The sequence below is a fragment of the Homo sapiens genome, chromosome 22, assembly GCF_000001405.40.
Source record: "Homo sapiens chromosome 22, GRCh38.p14 Primary Assembly".
Taxonomy (NCBI): domain Eukaryota; kingdom Metazoa; phylum Chordata; class Mammalia; order Primates; family Hominidae; genus Homo; species Homo sapiens.
In genome coordinates this window covers 24,494,452-24,511,836 of record NC_000022.11, presented here as the reverse complement: position 1 = coordinate 24,511,836, position 17,385 = coordinate 24,494,452, and the positions used below count along the sequence as shown (strand labels likewise).

The following is a 17,385-nucleotide window of genomic DNA, read 5'->3' as shown; positions in this document are numbered from 1 at the left end:
AGACCATCCTGGCTAACACGGTGAAACCCCGTCTCTACTAAAAATACAAAAAAAAATTAGCCAGGCATGGTGGCGGGCGCCTGTAGTCCCAGCTACTCCGGAGGCTGAGGCAGGAGAATGGCGTGAACCCAGGAGGCAGAGCTTGCAGTGAACCGAGATCGTGCCACTGCACTCCAACCTGGGCAACAGAGTGAGACTCCATCTCAAAAAAAAAAAAATATATATATATATATATATAATTCACAGAGCATAAGATTCACTTTAAGATTGGTCAAGTACAGTAGCGAGAGGTGGGAAACAGCAGAACAAGGAGTCACTCTTTTGAAGTGTGCAATTCAGTAGTATTCAGGATATTCACAGAGTTGTGCAACCTTCACCACTATCTAATTTTAGAACATTTTCATCACCCTAAACGGAAACTTTGTATCCATTAGCAGTCACTCCCTTCCTCCCTCACCCCCAGCCCTTAGCCACCACTTATCTACTTTCTGTCTCTATGGATTTGCCTATTCTGGACAGTTTATATAAATGGGATCATACAATATGTATTATAAGGTTTTAATGAAGAAAAATCAAAACCAATTTCTATGCTGATGAGACACAGGCCATGCATCGAAGCTTCTGTGACTCAAGCAAACTGCAGTGGAGCATGCAGAGCTCTGGATGAGAAACTGGCTTCTCTGGTCCCTGAATGCCAGCTCTGCCACTTGCCAGCTGTGGGACTTGCTACAAAAGTCACCTCCGACCACCCTCCCTGGGCTGCAGCTCCCTTGCCTGAAAAAGCTAATGGCCCTTCTGGAGCCTTACACGCCCCAATTCTAAGAGTACGCTAAAAAAAAAAGTGGCAGATAGTCTTATCTAATCTTATCTGGCAAAACAAGCACCAAATGGGTGCATTTTCCATGGTGAAAGGCCAAACCCGGCAGCTGTGGTCATGCTCTGTGACTTGCACATATTTGGCAGCTGCTGCCAGAGGCACCGTTAATGTCCTACCTTCTGACAGAATCTGGTGGTGGGCCCATCCTCTGCTGACTCAGCAAATTCTGTCCAAGGAAGCTTCTCTCTCGTACAGAAGGCAAAGGGCATAGCTATAAATAGGAGAAAGGGCAGAATTATATCCAACATGCACAGCCTCTGAGGGGGGCTCCTCAGCCCAGCAGCGGGAAGTCACTGCAAAAGAATACAGTCTCAGGAGTGCCATGGCCTGGCTTCTGGGTCCTGTTCCTGGCTGTGGGCAGCCCTTACCTCTGGGCTTCATGGCAAAACAAGGGGCTGGGCCAAATGTCTTTCCCAAAGTCTTAAAAACAATTGCAGCAGGGACTTGAACAGATATTTGCACACTCATGTTTACAGGAACATTATTCACAATAGCCAAAAGATGGAAACAACCCAAGTGTCTTATCAACAGATGAACTGATAGGTAAAATGTGGTATATATATATACACAATGGAATATCAGTCAACTCTCTTTTAAAAAGGGAAGAAATTCTGATGCATGCTTACATGGATGAACCTTTAAGAATATGCTAAGACACAAAACAAATACTGTAGGCGTCTACTCATAGGAGGTATTTAGAGTAGTCAAATTTTTTTTTTTTTTTTTGAGATGGAGTTTTGCTCTTGTTGCCCAGGCCAGAGTACAATGGCACTATCTTGGCTCACCTCAACCTCCCCCTCCCAGGTTCAAGCAATTCTCCTGCCTCAGCCTTCCCGAGTAGATGGGATTACAGGTATGCGCCACCATGCCTGGCTAATTTTGTATTTTTAGTAGAGATGGGGTTTCTCCATGTTGGTCAGGCTGGTCTTGAACTCCCGACCTCAGGTGATCCGCCCACCTCAGCCTCCCAAAGTGCTGGGATTACAGGTGTGAGTCACCACGCCCAGCCTAGAGTAGTCAAATTCTTAATGACAGAAAGTAGAATAGCTGTCAGAGGCCAGAAGAGGGGATAATGGGAAGTTACTGTTTAATGGGTAGAGGTGTCCAATTGTGAATGATGAGAAAAGTTCTGGAGATCATGGTGATGATGGTTGCACAACATGAATGTATTTAATGCCACAGACTGTACACGTTAAAATGGTAAATATTGTTAATGTATATCTATATGCCACACACACAAAAAGTTTTAAATTGCCAAAGTTCCCAACCAGCAGATCTCATGCTGTTGGCCAATCTGCAGGGTGGCAGGAGCTCCATTGACTCCTTGGGGAAAGTATCAGAAGGCTGCTGGGGATGGCACTGGGACCCCCCCTCCTCCTAGTGACAAGGAGGCTTCTTCAGAAATAAGAAAAGCTACTCATTAATGATCCCACAAAAAGTTTGGGAACCACTGGACAGGATGAACATCTGCAAGGATTAATGCTCTTATTCTCATGATCTCTGGCCAGGCCCCACCTAGGAGCTAATTCAGTAGGAAATTTCATTCGACTCATTGGTTTTTGCTTTTTTTTTTTTTTTTTTTTTTTTTTTTTTTTTTTCAAACAGTAGGTACATACACACAGATTAACAGTTCAAAGATACTGGTCATCTCCATGCACACCAAGTTCAGAGCAGTCTCCTATGCAGGGGATGGAGGGGACTCCGCTGGGGTGGGCCCTTGGGACCTTTGGCTATGTGCCTAATGCTGCTCTACAGCCCAGCCACACGTGAATATCTGCAGTGCATGGAGTTACCTTTAGTACCTGCCAGTCTGCTGGTGTGAACGGTGCCTCACTGTGAGTAAATGTTTCCCATATCCCCGGTGAGGCTGAACCCCTCACCACACATTCACTGGCCAGTCTGGATTCCTCCCCTACATTTTTTTGTTCATACCCTTTGCCTATTTCCTACTGTGCTATTCGTCTTTTTCTTTCTCAATGTGGAGAACTCAATCCTTGTCTGGACTAATTCAGTATACTTTGTAGATCTCCCACCTCACAATAACCCAAGTGCATTTCTTTCTTTTTTTCTTTTCTTTTGAGATGGAGTCTTGTTCTTGTTGCCCAGGCTGGAGTGCAATGGCACGATCTTGGCTCACTGAAACCTCCACCTCCTGGGTTCAAGCGATTCTTCTGCCTCAGCCTCCCAAGTAGCTGAAATTACAGGAGCCCACCACCATGCCCATCTAATTTTTTTTGTATTTTTAGTAGAGATGGGTTTTCATCATGTTGGCCAGGCTGGTCTCAAACTCCTGACCTCAGGTGATCCAGCTGCCTCGGCCTCCCAAAGTGCTGGGATTACAGACATGAGCTACCACACCCAGCCCAAGTCCATTTCTTTCTTTCTTTTTTTTTCTTTTTTGAGACGGAGTCTCGCTCTCGTTGCCCAGGCTGGAGTGCAGTGGCACGATCTTGGCTCATTGCAACCTCCACCTCCTGGGTTCAAGCGATTCTCCTGCCTCAGCCTCCCAAGTAGCTGGGATTACAGGTGCCCGCCACCACATCCAGCTAATTTTTGTATATTTAGTAGAGACAGGGTTTCACCATGTTGGCCAGGCTGGTTTCGAACTCCTGACCTCAGGTGATTCGCCCACCTCAGGCTCAGAAAGTGCTGGGATTACAGGCGTGAGCCACCACATCTGGCCCCAAGTCCATTACTTTTAGAGGGATTAGCCTAACAGAAGTTTCCAGTTGTCTGCTATTGTTCCAGCTACTTTGAACTAACTTGAGGGGGGTGTGCAGGAAGCTGTGTGATGTGATGGGGCAGTGTTTAACTGGCCTCTGCGAGGGCCTTAAGACCCCTTTAGAATTAACAATTGTAGACAGTATCTCCTAAATGCCAGGCATATGTGAAGCATGGTGCCTGGTAGAAAGAAGAAAACAGCTCCCCCATACGGCGGAGGGGGCCAGGGGAGTCTGAACCAAGAGAAATCCGGTGTGCAGCGGAAAAGTGGTTGGTTATATTGGGGGGCTGGAGGAGGTGGGGTCTGATTTGCATAGGGCCCAGGGGATTGGTTTGACCAGGTGTGACATTCAAGTAGCCCGCAAAAAATCTAGCCCTCCCACCTTAGCCCTTTAATATGCAAACGTGAGCTGCCATGATGTCCTGAACATGTATGAGTTATCTGGAGGCGGTCATGACACTTGGCACAGGTGGTGACAAGGAGAAGAGGGCAGGAATTGCCATGTTGGGTGGACCTAGTTTCTAATTGCCGACATTTGCATATCAAAGCTTGCTGGCCTGGCTCTTTAAGCCGCCTTTTCGGTTAGAAAAGAAATGGTTCAGGAGTTGCTTCTTATTACAGGAAAATTTCCACTGAGAACCTTTACTCCTTTATTCCTTTTACTCCTTTCTAGTTGCCTAAAAAGTATTTCTTTATAACTCCTATCTTCGTAATAGGCAGATCGTCTCCAACATCCCTAAGCTGGTGTCACCCCCTTTATTTCACAGAGAAGGAAGAGAAGCCTCAGCCTCTCAATTCCTTCCGGTCCCAGGAAGCCTGGTCCTAAGAGAGTACCACAGTAAATATCCCGCCAATGGCACCACCACCATCTTGCCAAGCAGGCGGCAGGCACTGCCAGCAACAGTCCTGGGGGCCTTGGTAGCAGGCTCAAGGCTCCCCAGGCTCGCCTTCTGTGAAGAGAGATGAATTATTTTAAGGAAGCCAACAGAAAAGCTGTTGAAAACACAAATGCTCCTTAATGACCATTAATTCTCAGCTTTCAGAGCATTAGGAGTGAGTCAAGTGCCCCCAGAGAATAAGCAGCTTCTTTTCCTGTTTACACAACCACTCTAATGTAAACACACTTTCAAAAGAAGGATGTGGAAGTGAGGTTGGGTGAGGCTGGCTGCAAAGTCCCAACTACAGTTCTTCAACTAGAGGGGACGAGGTTCCACATGCACTGACCTAACACCTGGCCCTCAGGAACTGCCAGCCTAGAGGGAAGGAGATGAATTAGAACCTGGTGCGGCCACACAACCTGGCAATACAGAGTGGTCAGGGGGAGTCCTGGGGGAGTCCCCAGGGCCCCACAAAGGAGGGGTACCTGTGCTAGACTTTGATAAATGAGGGGGAGTTCCAGATCCAAGAAAGGGGAGATGTTAGTTCAACTATCCAGCCAATACTAATTTGTAGTGCCTGTCATGCACTAGGGATTATTCTTGCCACTAAAGATGAAACAGGGGTGGGTGGAGAGTTGGGAAAAACAAACACAGATACTATCCTCATGGAGCTCATAGTCTAATGAAGAGTGAGAGTACAAAGGTAACAAAAATAGGAAAACGACATGAACTTCTGGGACACAGACACGTGTTCTTTCCTGAAACCCCATTAACATGACAGGAAAGCAATGTTCATGCAAAGGCATATACCCAACAAGGATGGTGCACTGAGGCACGGAAACACGGGAAGCTGGAAGGCGGAAAGATGCAGGCAAATCTCTCAGCAGATCAGAGAAAACTGAGTCCCGCTAGCAGTAGAGAAGATCTCCTGCTTATCCAAAGCTCAGGACCCAGGGGCACCAGGTACCTCTGAAGGTGGGGAAGCAGGGAAGTATGATAAACAAGGACTGGTCAAAGGTCTATTTAAGAAGCAGTTAGGGGCCGGGCGCAGTGGCTCATGCCTGTAATCCCAGCACTTTGGGAGGCCGAGGTGGGCGGATCACCTGAGGTCAGGAATTCGAGACCAGCCTGGCCAACATGGTGAAGCCTGGTCTCTACTAAAAATACAAAAATTAGCTGGGTGTGGTGGTACAGGCCTGTAATTCCAGCTACTCAGGAGGCTGAGGCAGGAGAATTTTTTGAACCCAGGAGGCAGAGGTTGCAGTGAGCTGAGAATGCGCCACTGCATGCCAGCCTGGGTGACAGAACAAGATTCCGTCTGAAAAAAAAAAAAAAAAATGCAGTTAGGGCCAGGCACGGTGGCTCACGCCTGTAATCCCAGAACTTTGGGAGGCTGAGGTGGGTGGATCACCTGAGGTCAGGAGTTCGAGACCAGCCTGGCCAACATGGCAAAACCCCATCTCTACTAAAAATACAGAAATCAGGCAGGCATGGTGGCACGGGCCTGTAGTCCCAGCTACTCAGGAGGCTGAGGCAGAAAAATCGCTTGAATCCAGGAGGCAGAGGTTGCAGTGAGCTGAGATCGCGCCACTGCCCTCCAGCCTGGGTGACAGACCAAGACTCCACCTCAAAAAAAAATAAAAATAAAAATAAAAAAAGAAGCAGTTAGAAATCCAGGTCCTTTCTCCACACCAAGAGGCTGGGACCTGCCCCATCTACCCCAGAAGAAGGCCAGAGGCTCATCCTCCAGAGATGGTTCAGCAGAGGCTCTCTGGCTTTGGAGCAGGGCAGATGAAAGCAAGTGAAGTGTCAAAACAGAGGGATTGAGTAAACATCAGCATGCTGAACCTTTGTTCTCCTTCCCTTCTTGGCACAAGGGCAGAAAAATCTCTGGGGACTCTGACCAGCCTGAAAAGAATGACCCAGAGATACTAACACTGGGATTACCTGGGAATTACCACTAAATCAGATCACCCTATAATGGAGCTCAGTGGGTGAGCCCCTACTACAAACTCAGAGCTCACAGATTTTTAATCCCCAATTCTTAAAATATGAGCAATCAAACAAAGCGTCCAACTTGGAATAAGGACTCTTGGAATAAGAGAGAAAACAAAATTTACTTAATATTAGTATCCTTAGAGGTAAGAGAAGATATCGCAACCATGATGCAAGAACAGGATGTAATACAACAGGGACTTTCAGACCAAAAGAACACTAGTAAATTCAAAATTTGACAGCAGAAATGAAAGGTTGAATAGGAGGGCTGACTGACAAATCAGATCAAATCCACCAGAAAATTGAGCAAAAAGACAAAGTGGTGACTGGGCCCTGTGGCTCACGCCTATAGTTGCAGCATTTTGGGAGTCCAAGGTGGGAGAATTGCTTGGGCCCAGGAATTTGAGACCTGCCTGGGCAACACAGATCTCATCTTTACAAAAAAAAAAAAAAAAAAAAATTCAAGAAAATTAGCCAGGTGTGGTGGTATGCATCTATGGTCCCAGCTACTCAGGAGGCTGGGGCGGGAGGATTGCTTGATCCTGGGAGGTCAAGGCTGCAGTGAGCTGTGATTGTGCCACTGCACTACAGCCTCAGTGACAGAGTAAGACCACGTATCAAAAAAAAAAAAAAAAAAAAAAGGAGGAAATACATAACAAAATTAGGGAACTAGTCCAGGGTTCCAACATCCTAATAGTAGGACTGTCTAGAAAGAGAAAAAAAGAGGGGAAAATAATGAATGAAATAATGCAAGAACATTTCCTAGAGCTTCAGAACCCAAGTTTCTAGACTAAAAGAACCCACTGAGTGCCTAGAGTGGATTAAAATAGATATACACAATGGAATATCATTATGAAATTGTAGAGTACTGGTGAAAAAGAGAAACTCCTACAGTCTTCCAGAGAAAAACAAGTCATAGACAATGGGTCACAAATTAAAATGGCTGTGGACTACTCAACAATGCCCAAAAAACTAGAAGACAATGGAACAATGTGTTCAAACTTCTGAAGGAAAATGATTTCTAACCTAAAATTTGATGCTCAACCAAACTATCAAGAAAATTGTAGAAGGAACATATTTTCAGATGGGCAAGGCCTCAAAAAGTTTACCTCTGATGTGTTCTTCCTCAGGGAACTACTTGTTCTGAGAGTCCCTAGCTAAATGGGGGCTCCAGTACCAGAGCGGTTGGCAACCCAGCACTAACAGGAAATGAAGGGAGCTGGATGTGGTCTCTACAGTGTGCCTTTCACAGGATACATCTTGTACATGGTGGACAGCCTAATGCCTGTCTGTCCAACCCGTGACCAGGGGGTCCCTCATACGTGAAACTTGTTTATACTGGCACATGCTGTGTGGCAGCTCTTGCCTGACCTGTCCCTGCCTGACTACCACTCTGGCCCTAGGAGCCCAACTTTGTGTTTCCACCGGTATCCCAAGGAAAACCCAGCCTGGGGCAGCCCCTGGTTCTTCTCATGGAAGGTGCAAATTCAACACACAATCGCAATAGGAAACAAGTTTAAAGATTTTTTTACTTACAGATCCTGGGCAAGGAGAGTGCCATGAGTCAGGAGGGCAGTCCTCTGTCCCCAGGTCAGATGAGGGAGAAATGAAGAGTCAGAGAGAGTATGGGGCAACTAGCAGTACACATAATGACTAAGATGTGGTCACCTTAAGTTAATGGCCAAATGCCTGGATGGTCCATTTAAAGGAAGCAGCAGGAAAGTGGGCAGCCCAGTCTGCTGGTGGGAGAGAGGCCTCTTAAGTTCTTACCTCTGGCCACTTGGCTTGAGCCATCTCGGTGTGGTGTAGATCTGGAAACTGTGTCCAGCGTGACCGAGCCCTGCCGCTGGTATGAGAGAGTTAAACTTGTATTCAACATGGATGCCGAGGCAACATAAATCTATAAGGATCCACTACACCACTCCACTAAAATAAGGGTATAAACCAAGAAAGAGGAAGCTGTGGGAACAGAGAAACACAAGAGCAAGGCAAAGGGATTCCCCAGGGTGATGATGAGGGGGGATCCCAGGACAATAACTGTGTGGCCAGCAGAGGGGGCACCTGATTCAGACCACAGCAGTCACAAGGCTCTGGGGCAGATTCCTTGGAGGAGATGAAACTGATAGACTGTTTGATGCGTCTAAAACACATTAAGGGAGATTTAGGAATTGATAGAAAGTTTGGGGTTGAATGCGTGGCAAGTAGAAAACAAAGCAAACTCTAGGGAAAACAGAAAATAATTCAGGAAAAGAAATCAAAGTTCAGCCTAGCAATATAGTGAGATCTCCATCTCTACAAACTTTTTTTTTTCAATTAGCTGGGCGTGATGGTGTGCACCTGTGGTCCCAGCTACTTGGGAGGCTGAGGTGGGAGGATTGCTTGGGCCTGGGATCAAGGCTGCAGTGAGCTGTGATTGTACTCTAAGCCTGGGTGACAGAGTAAGTCCTTGTCTTAAAAAAAAAGAAAAGGAATCAAAGTTGACAAAATGGGCTGGGGGGATAGAACAAGGACACATGTATGTCGAAGGGCCAGGAGGAGGCAAGAAAGGGCTAACACTGACATCTTCCATAGGGGGAAGTCAATAGGTGATGCAAAACTAAAAAATTAGGAAGTAGCAACACTAACAAAGGTAAATTCCAAAGGAACTAGCTCAGTGTTGATGCTGGGGATAATAGCTATTTTTTGGTAACAGACCTTGTACACCCATCTGACTCTAAACCATGAGCATGTAAAACTCTGATAAAAATAAAAACCACAAAGGTACATACTACCAGGATGTTTAGATGGGGGGGCTGGCTCTGGGCTGAGATCTGAAGGTAAAGAAGTCCTGGTCAGGAGGGCACAGGAGACCAGCTGGAGGGAATTACAAAAGCCAGAGGTGAGCTGCCAGGGGCTTGGACCAGGTGGTGGTAGAGAGATGGAGAGGAGCGAATGGATTCAGAACGATGTGGGAAAACTGAAGGAATCAGACAACAGCTCGGTGCGTAACAGCAGGGAGGCCGGGGTTCCTGGTGATGTGGACGGAGAACTTTCCATGGATGAGGAAACAAAGGAGATTCTTTAAAAGTCAGGCAGCAGACACTCTTGGCAACATGGAGAGAATACACAATTGTTTGAAGGCAGCAGAGAAAGCACCATAAAAAAGACTCACTCCATGCTTCCTGGAAACAGATGATGTTGACTCCACACATTGCAGCCACCTCTACGATAGCCTTTATGCGTCTATGAAGGGCAGAGACCTGAGAATTTAAAAAGGATTAGAATCCATTTAGTTCTATTGGTAAGGCAATTTTTAGGATCTCATCCTAATGCATATGGAAAAATCAATGCCCACCTGGGCAGGTATGAGGAGTAGGGTGGGGAGGTTCTATATTTGGTTATCTCCTGATGTCCAAAATCTGCATGAAAAGCTGGAGGTGCAGAGGCTCTGGGGTCAGACACTTGGACACTGCCTCAGTTTCCTCACCTGGTAATGGGGAGGCTGCCACCTGACCTGTGGGGTTGCTGAGAGGCAGGGATGAGGATGGTGCTGCTTCCGGTCCAGGGCCCACGTTCACACCCATCTCCCAGGTCAGCCACCCCCTTGGCCCGGGACTCCGCTCCCCACTCTCCTGCCTTCAGAGGCAAGCCTGGTTCCACACTTATCCTACTTATCCTGTGTGCATCTTATCATGGAATGCCTCGCCTCTCTGGCTCTTTTAAATCCCCGTGCTTTGGTGTGTGCTGTGCCCTGGGCCAGGAATGTACTTCCCTCCTCCCACCTAATCTTCCTGGAGGTGTTATCTATGTCACATGTCACCCCTCTGTGGGCCTCTGCAGGCTCTCACAGCTATGGGCCAAGTGTCAAGGTAACTCAGCATCCCCTGGCCTTCGGGAGCCATTGTGTGCCACTGCTTTGTGTGCCACTCTTCCTCTGCTGTCTGTCACTCCCAGGACCCCACAGGCTCCTTGGGGATAGGAAGAAAGCATCCTCATTGTCTGCTTGTCCTTGGCACAATGCCTGGCTCCCAGGAGACATTCAAAAGCGTTTGTTCAAAGACAGACCAAAGGAACCAGGCTGAAAACCCAGAGCGCACAAACTCTCCACAAGGCCTATAGTCTCCTCCTTTGAGAGGCTGTGCACCCCATGGCTTTGTGGATATTTGCTGACAGCATCAGCCCCGCAAACACACATTTGCTTGGTGTTAGCAAAACGCAAAGCATACTTCTAGGCCCTGTGCACGTGAAAAAAACATAGCTGGTCCTATGACTTGACAGTCTGGGATGATAGAGGGGACATATCCACAAAAAACAAATCCTGATACAAAAAGTGAGAGAACTGAGAACCAGACATCTGTGAATCCAACAAAAGCAAAGGAAGGACCAATGTGAATGATGATGCAGAACCAAACCTGGAATCCAAGAGGCCTTAGGTTTCTCCAGAATCCCTAAGAATCCTCAAACACGCCGTATCCTGAGGAAACCTGTGCAGGAAAATCCCTGAAAGTTTGAGCAGCTGGAGGAATGCTGTGGAGAAGTGTATAAAGCAAACCACCTGCGCCTGTGACAACATGTTTCTTTAGGGAGATACAAGATGCTGTCACCTTTATTTACTAACTCTGAGGTCATAAGCGAATGCCTATCTATTCCCGTAATCCTGTAGGCACCACAACTGACAGACTTCTGGGTATAGCGAGTCCCCGCCCTGAGGATTAAGGCAGAAGAACACACGGACAGACGGTCCCAACCAGCGTGTGCTGGCTGGCCGCCTCCTGGCAGGCAGCTGAGAGGCAGCGTCCCGTGGAGAGCACGAGCAGGCCAAAAGGGCACCCTCCCGGTTGGTAAATGGAGCTTCAGATCAATAGCTGGAGAGAAGTGGAAAGATCAGTGAGGAGGAGGGAGAGACAGAATAAGAACAGGAAGACAGAAGAGCCAGAGATGCAGGCTGGAGGGATGTGGGGAGGCCAGGGCAGAAGCGCCTCTGCTACTGCTTGAGGCGCCCAAGCCTGCAGACCCGGAGTATGCGGCCAGCCAGGGCCTGCAGGTGTGCTCCAAGGGCAGGCCACAACCCTGTTTGTGTATTTATTATGGTCAAAAGAGTCTGCACCTGTTCTGCCACAGGGGCATTTGCGGGGAGGGGGATTCTGTTCTGAACCAGCCCCACGTGCACAATGCGGGGTCGTCTCAGCTGCTCCTCCGCTGCTTCAAAGGCATATCCCTGCAGTTCAAAGTCTTCTCTGGAGGCAGCTTCGAAAGCTTCCCTGGGCAGATCAAGCTTCCTAGATGGGCAGGAAAAAAGAGGGAAGGGGATTTTGATGCAGTCTGCTCCACTTAAAATCTCTCTCCCATTTCTTGTAGCTATTTATCAGCCAAAGAGGTGAGGATGTCCTGGCTAGAAGGCGCTCAGTGCCAGGGCCCAAGGGAGCTGGCGAGCAGTGGGGTCCAGCCATGACAGAACACTACACTGAACCTGGACTTTACCTGCAATTGGCAGGGAGACCTCAGCAGAGTCAGCACGGTTAGGCCTGGCAATGGGGAGGCCAGTTAAGAGGTTGGTGTTTTAGAGTTGCTGAAATCACGGTAGGAATTAAAGTCCTGGCAGTCAGCACAGAAAGGAGGGAACAGATTCTCAAAAGTGTTTCTGAACCAGAATCAGGGCTATGCTGAGCCTAGGGTGTGAGGCAGGCTGTGGGAGCCGAGGGGCTTGGAAAATGGGGCTCAGGAGACAGGTTGGATGGAGAGGCCATGACCTGGGATCACATGGATGGCCTTATGGTGAATAAAGACCCTGGCCACTCTGTCCTGCTGCTCCTGCTGGGGGAGGCCAGTTCTACATCTGGTGTTGGGTGGGCTTGGAGGGGCCCAGGTGTTCAGATGGAAGCCCTAAGTGCTCATCCACATTTGTAGTTTATTAACCAAGGCTAGAGAATTAGTTATAAAACCTTCCACTGAAGTGACCATTAGCCAAACAGCAAATACCTCCTGATACCTGTTGCACACCCGAAGGTGAAAGCCACAGAGGCATGGGATGGGACACGGCCCCTAGCCAGGAAGGGCTTACCATCTAAGCGCAAGATGATTATGAAATACTCAGAAAACACATCAAAAAATAACCTGACAGCCATTATCTAATAATAATATTTCTCTCCTACTTTAAATCACTTTCTTGGAGACGTTTCTTTCAAAATCACAGCCCTGTCAGCCCAAGCCCCCTGTCGCCGCCCCCTGCCAGGCACTTTCCATGTGACGGCCCTGACAGCTCTGAGTTCGGTTCCGCCCCTGACAATCAGCCTGCTTTTCAAGTAGTCAAGGTTCCCTTCACTCCAGCAGGTTAGAAATAGCAGCAGTGCCCACACCGTGCCTCTCCTTGCTGTGACTGCCTTAGACAGTCCTCCCACCCTCCAGCGGAAGGGCGCTCCTGCAGGCCACAGCCTCAGAGCAAATCCCCTCTGGTGGACATAAATCACGCAGCTTTCCAGGATATGGGTGTGGGCAGACACCAGGAGAAAAAGGAGCAAGGCTTATGTGTCTATTCCCTCGAAGGCCTGTGGGCCTGGGAGCCAGACAGCTCTTTCAGAGTGTCCTGGTGAACCCTGCCTGGCCTCTCAGCCTGTGGTCTCACACCAGGAAAATGTCAGGTGAAGAGCTCGTCTTGGGTGTGGAAACATGGCTGTAACCACCACCTGGCTGAAGTCTCTCTCCTCATCTTCCCACCATGCACAACCTCCATTACCTACCCTTCTTCCCCCAAGTGATGCCTCCGCCTAGCCAGCCCTGAGGCTGCCCACCTCCTTATCCCCAGCTCCCTGCGAGCTCATTCTAAGCCAAGGTAATACAGGAGAGGCCGCTCCACCCTCCAGGACAGCCACCTTTGGGGCTCTACCTCCTCCCAGCCACTCCTGTCTACTATCTGGGCAGTACCTGTAAGGCCTCTCTGCCCTCCCATTATCAAAGGCGGTGCATTACCACATCCTACACAGCTTCATCTTGGAGAACCTAACCAATCCTCAAGCCATACCCTGTGTAGACGCAGTCAATGACCATGTGCTGTGCCCACCGAAAGGCCTGGTACAGGAGATGCAGTGGAACACTGAGACAGACTGAATGCTTATGTCTGCCCCAAATTCATATGTTGAAATCCTAATCTCCAATGTGATAGGGCTCTTTCAGAGGTGATTAGGTCATGAGGGTAGAGTCCTTTTAAAAGACCAAGAGGGCATGCTTGCTTCCTGCACCATGTAAGAACACAGTGAGAAGGCACCATCAAAAACCAGAAAGTGGGCCCTCAACAGACACCAGATCTGCTGTGGCACCTTGATCTTGGACTTCATAGCATTCAGAACTGTGAGGAATAAATTCATGTGGTTTAAGATGGGGAAAGAGACCGCAGCCAGATGTTGGTTACAGCCAGGGTTGCACACTCAGACAAGAGCTCTGCCACCTGACTTCTTCCTGGTGTGAGACCACAGGCTGAGGACAGTGTTCACTAGGACGTTCCCAAAGGGCTGTCCAGCTACCAGGCCCACAGACCTTTGGGGAAACAGACACACAGACCCTTCTCCTTTTTCTCCCTGTGATTGCCCACAAGTACAGGGAAGTCTGGTATTCTGTTATAGTAGCCCAAAAGTACTAAAACATCAATCAGCCACTGCCCAGGAGGACAAGACCAGCAAATGAGCCATAACCTCACAGACGGCCTCCTGCTGCCACTGCCTGCCCTGGTCCCTGTAGTTGGCTTTCAGACCCTCTACCCCTCACCCTGCTACTGAGGCCTCCCCACTCAGGGCTTCCCTTCAAACTTCAAGGAGTAAAGCCCTTCACTTCCCATCCTAGCCCCACCATGCCCTTCAGGGCCCCCACCTCTCCCACCCAGGGTCAGGCAGACCTTGCCAGAGGACACCAAGTTCCTGCCTCCTCAGCAACCTCTCACTTCTGGAACTTCATCTTTCCATGTCTGATGGCTCTTTACCACCAGCACTTTAAATCATTAAACTAGAGCTCTGTTACAAAAGAGACATGTGCTCATGGCGGGGGTGAATCAAATAGTGGGAAAGGGTATAAAATGAAACATACATTCCCCTTTCTACCCCACCCCTAGTCCCAAAACTCAGAGGCAACCCCTCTTAACAATGTTTTATGTCTCTTTCCTATTTTCCTACGTGTATGCATTACAAATACAATGGTATCATTCTGTATTTTCTGTTCTTCAACTTGCCTTTTTCACTTAATACACATAGCTTGGACATCTTTCTCCACTAGTACCTACAGACCTCCACATCCATCACTGAAGCTGTTAAAGAGTCTCTCCCGTTGAAAAACAGAAGGGAGATAGGGGGGAGAGAAGGTGAGGAAGAAAGAGAAAGAGGGACAGTGTTCCACATATGTCCATGTGTTTACTCACTTGCTGTCTCTCCCTGCTGCCTAGGGAGCTTCCACACATGCTTCCCCTCAGCTCAGGCCTTACCTCCTGGCCCCATCTCAGGAACTGCCAACAGCCTTATCATGGCTAAATCCAGCAGACTTCCTGCTGTCCTCACCCGCTAGACATTTCTGAGCCATCTGATGCTTCTTTCCTGTCCTGCCCCAGAGTCCTCACCTCCAGAATCTCCCACAAAGTCTCTTTCTCTGACCCCTTGAATATCCAGGTTTTCCAGCATTCTCTCCAGCGCCCTCTTTTGTACCTGCTCCTCCTTCACCTGGAATGACCATCTCCAGGGCAGCTCAACAAGCCCAGCCTCGCCCACCTGAGGCCCACCTCCACATAGCAAATAGCCCCTGAGTTATTTCCACCTGCAGACCCTGAAGCTACTGTAGCAGGTTGAGCTGTGTCTCCATCCTGACACCTGGAACCTGTCATTGTGATTTTATTTGGAAAAAGGGTCTTCACAGACGTAATTAAGGTCAGGATCTCAAGATAAGATCATCCGGGATTATCCAAGTAAGCTCCAAATCCAAAGACGTGTGTGTGTGTGTGTGTGTGTATGTGTGTGTGTGTGTGTGTGTGTGTGTGTGTTTGAGACAGGGCCTCACTCTGACTCCCAGGCTGGAGTGCAGAGGAGAGATTTTGGCTCACTGCAGCCTCGACCTCCCAAGCTCAAGTGATCCTCCCGCCTCAGCCTGCCATGTAGCTAGGACTACAGATGCATGCTACCATGCTTGGCTATTTTTTTAAATGCTTTATAGAGATGGGTGTCTCACTATGTTGCCCAGGCCGGTCTCGAACTCCTGAGTTCAAGCAATCTTCCAGCCCTGGCCTCCCAAAGTGCTGAGATTACAGGTGTGAGCCCGGCCAGGAAGTGTCTTTTTCAGCTTTGTGGACACAGTGTCCAGCAGTATACAGCCCTCAGAAAGTCCTGGTGATGCACAAGCTTGCAGGGAGTGGAAAAACCAGCGCCCATGGCTTGCCAGTGGGAAAGGTTCCCTCGCCAACTAAATGCAGACAGCCTCTATTTCCAAGGGTCAGCCAGAGGTCGGGTCACCGCAAGAAGGATGGTCTGGGGCCGGACAATCAGTACACCTGCTGGGTGCTCTGGTTGGAGACAGTGATCCAGCCAGACATCCAGAAGACAAGCCCGGCTCCGGGGAGGAGGGTTGGGATGGCCACAGAGAAAGCCCTGGAGAGTAAAATCCCGTCCTTTTCCTTCCGGTTCTGGGCAACGTGGGGGAGAAGAGATTTGTAAAGGTCACGCCAGGATTCTGCAACCCCCAAGGACCCCGGGGCCGTCCCATCAAGACCTACTATGGTCTCTGCCCGCCAACTCAGGACTTCTCACCGCCTCCCCTGAGCCCTTCAGACCCTGAGGCCCTCCCTGCCTGCTCCCCCAGACCCACACTCTGTGGCCCCAAGACCCCATTAGCTTAGCCTCTTGGCTGCGGACCTGAGTTCCTTGCCATAGAGAACGCGCTTCACTTCCTGCAAGTCGGGGAGCGGCAGGTGCTTCTCCAAGCATTCCTCCAGCGACTTCCACTCAGCGCCCGCCATGGCCACGGTCCGCCAGTGCTTGTGTCCGCGCACGAACTGCCTGCCCTTTGCCCGCAGTGGGAGGAGGTGCCCAGGCCCGGTCAGGCGCCCTTGCCTTTATCTCTTACTCTCGCTCCCAGACAGCTCAAGTGAGGACACGCCACTTCCTCGCGCAGCCAATCCGCCTTCCAGGGCTTCGCGGGTGGGACCGCCCCTGGCCTTTAGCGCTCCTTCGGCACGTGCCAGGACACGTTCCTCTTGCCGCCTCCGCAGCACACGGCCAATCAGCCTCCAGGGCCTCACGTGGGGAGGGGGCGAAAGGATCCGGCGCTTGCCCTTCGCCCCTTGCCCTTCGCCTCTCGGTTAGCAAGCGATGAGGCACGCCCCTCCACAGGCGGGACTGCGCGGAGTCGTCGCGCCTCGGCTGCGAGTCAGGACTGAGGCTGTCCCCCTCCCGCCTCCCTCAGGGGCCCTGGCGCGGGTGCCTCCAGGTTCCACCCCTCACCTGCCCCTTGGTGTCGGGCCGGGACCCTGGAGAGGTCGTGAGGGAGTCCTGGGCGCGGGCTCCGGGAGGCTGCGGCGCGGGTCTGAGGTAAACGGCCCGGCCGCTGCGGGCCCTTGCGGGGGCTGGTTCCAGCAGCAACCGCCGGGCAGGGCCCCTCCCGACCGCGACCTCCTGTCCGCACCGTAGGGCAGCCGGCCGGGCCAGCCTCCCTCACAGGACTACCGAGGAAGGTAAGGGAAGAGTTTCAGTGTCCCACGGGCACGCGGCGGCTGCACCTCTGTCGTCCGGAGCCTTTATGTCTGGGGAGTTTTAACCCCCGAGGGGCCAGGCTCGGAGTCCATGCCGCTACCTGGGTCGCGCGTTCCCACCCCCGGCTTTGGGGCCGCTGGAGCCGAAGGTCAGTTGCTCGCCTGCGGTTCCGTGCGCCTCGGTGGAGCTAATATTGTAAAATGCGGGGTCCCCGGGTGA

General features: G+C 50.1%; 1 protein-coding gene and 1 long non-coding RNA gene across 7 annotated transcripts in view, besides 6 other annotated features; one reads left to right on the top strand and one right to left on the bottom strand.

Moving 5' to 3' along the window:
- Positions 1-16,505, bottom strand: part of UPB1 (beta-ureidopropionase 1) — a 33,059-nt gene extending 16,554 nt beyond the window's left edge. For 4 of the 5 annotated variants that reach the window (XR_001755249.2, XM_047441404.1, XM_047441405.1 and 1 more), the window contains exons 1-6: positions 16,330-16,505; positions 11,559-11,730; positions 9,624-9,711; positions 8,243-8,318; positions 8,009-8,013; positions 994-1,088 (exon numbers count right to left, since the gene is read on the bottom strand). Coding sequence is in view for 4 of the 5 variants with exons in the window: in XM_047441404.1 (XP_047297360.1) it covers positions 994-1,088; positions 8,009-8,013; positions 8,243-8,318; positions 9,624-9,711; positions 11,559-11,730; positions 16,330-16,433 (540 nt within the window). In the remaining variant the exon portion in view is untranslated. The remainder of the gene's footprint in view (positions 1-993; positions 1,089-8,008; positions 8,014-8,242; positions 8,319-9,623; positions 9,712-11,558; positions 11,731-16,329) is intronic. The other variant, NM_016327.3, reaches the window with a different exon arrangement.
- Positions 2,118-2,391: a silencer, noted in NCBI's record as "fragment chr22:24905414-24905687 (GRCh37/hg19 assembly coordinates)". NCBI's record gives its function as "represses an EF-1alpha promoter that drives an FKBP-Casp9 reporter gene in an ReSE screen in phorbol 12-myristate 13-acetate-treated (for megakaryocytic differentiation) K562 erythroleukemia cells {active_cell/tissue: K562(+PMA)}" and the evidence as "EXISTENCE:reporter gene assay evidence [ECO:0000049][PMID:32094911]".
- Positions 4,462-4,511: an enhancer, noted in NCBI's record as "active region_18776". NCBI's record gives its function as "activates an Ori minimal core promoter by ATAC-STARR-seq in GM12878 lymphoblastoid cells {active_cell/tissue: GM12878}" and the evidence as "EXISTENCE:reporter gene assay evidence [ECO:0000049][PMID:35858748]".
- Positions 4,932-5,021: an enhancer, noted in NCBI's record as "active region_18775". NCBI's record gives its function as "activates an Ori minimal core promoter by ATAC-STARR-seq in GM12878 lymphoblastoid cells {active_cell/tissue: GM12878}" and the evidence as "EXISTENCE:reporter gene assay evidence [ECO:0000049][PMID:35858748]".
- Positions 5,236-5,772: an enhancer, noted in NCBI's record as "H3K4me1 hESC enhancer chr22:24902033-24902569 (GRCh37/hg19 assembly coordinates)". NCBI's record gives its function as "activates a minimal SCP1, AML or CMV promoter by ChIP-STARR-seq in primed H9 embryonic stem cells {active_cell/tissue: H9 hESC(primed)}" and the evidence as "EXISTENCE:reporter gene assay evidence [ECO:0000049][PMID:30033119]".
- Positions 5,773-6,311: an enhancer, noted in NCBI's record as "H3K4me1 hESC enhancer chr22:24901494-24902032 (GRCh37/hg19 assembly coordinates)". NCBI's record gives its function as "activates a minimal SCP1, AML or CMV promoter by ChIP-STARR-seq in primed H9 embryonic stem cells {active_cell/tissue: H9 hESC(primed)}" and the evidence as "EXISTENCE:reporter gene assay evidence [ECO:0000049][PMID:30033119]".
- Positions 8,181-8,450: an enhancer, noted in NCBI's record as "active region_18774". NCBI's record gives its function as "activates an Ori minimal core promoter by ATAC-STARR-seq in GM12878 lymphoblastoid cells {active_cell/tissue: GM12878}" and the evidence as "EXISTENCE:reporter gene assay evidence [ECO:0000049][PMID:35858748]".
- The window catches only part of ADORA2A-AS1 (ADORA2A antisense RNA 1), a 65,869-nt gene continuing 65,246 nt past the window's right edge, over positions 16,763-17,385 (top strand). For both annotated transcript variants that reach the window (NR_028484.3, NR_028483.2), the window contains exon 1: positions 16,763-17,147. This is a non-coding gene — a long non-coding RNA (ADORA2A antisense RNA 1). The remainder of the gene's footprint in view (positions 17,148-17,385) is intronic.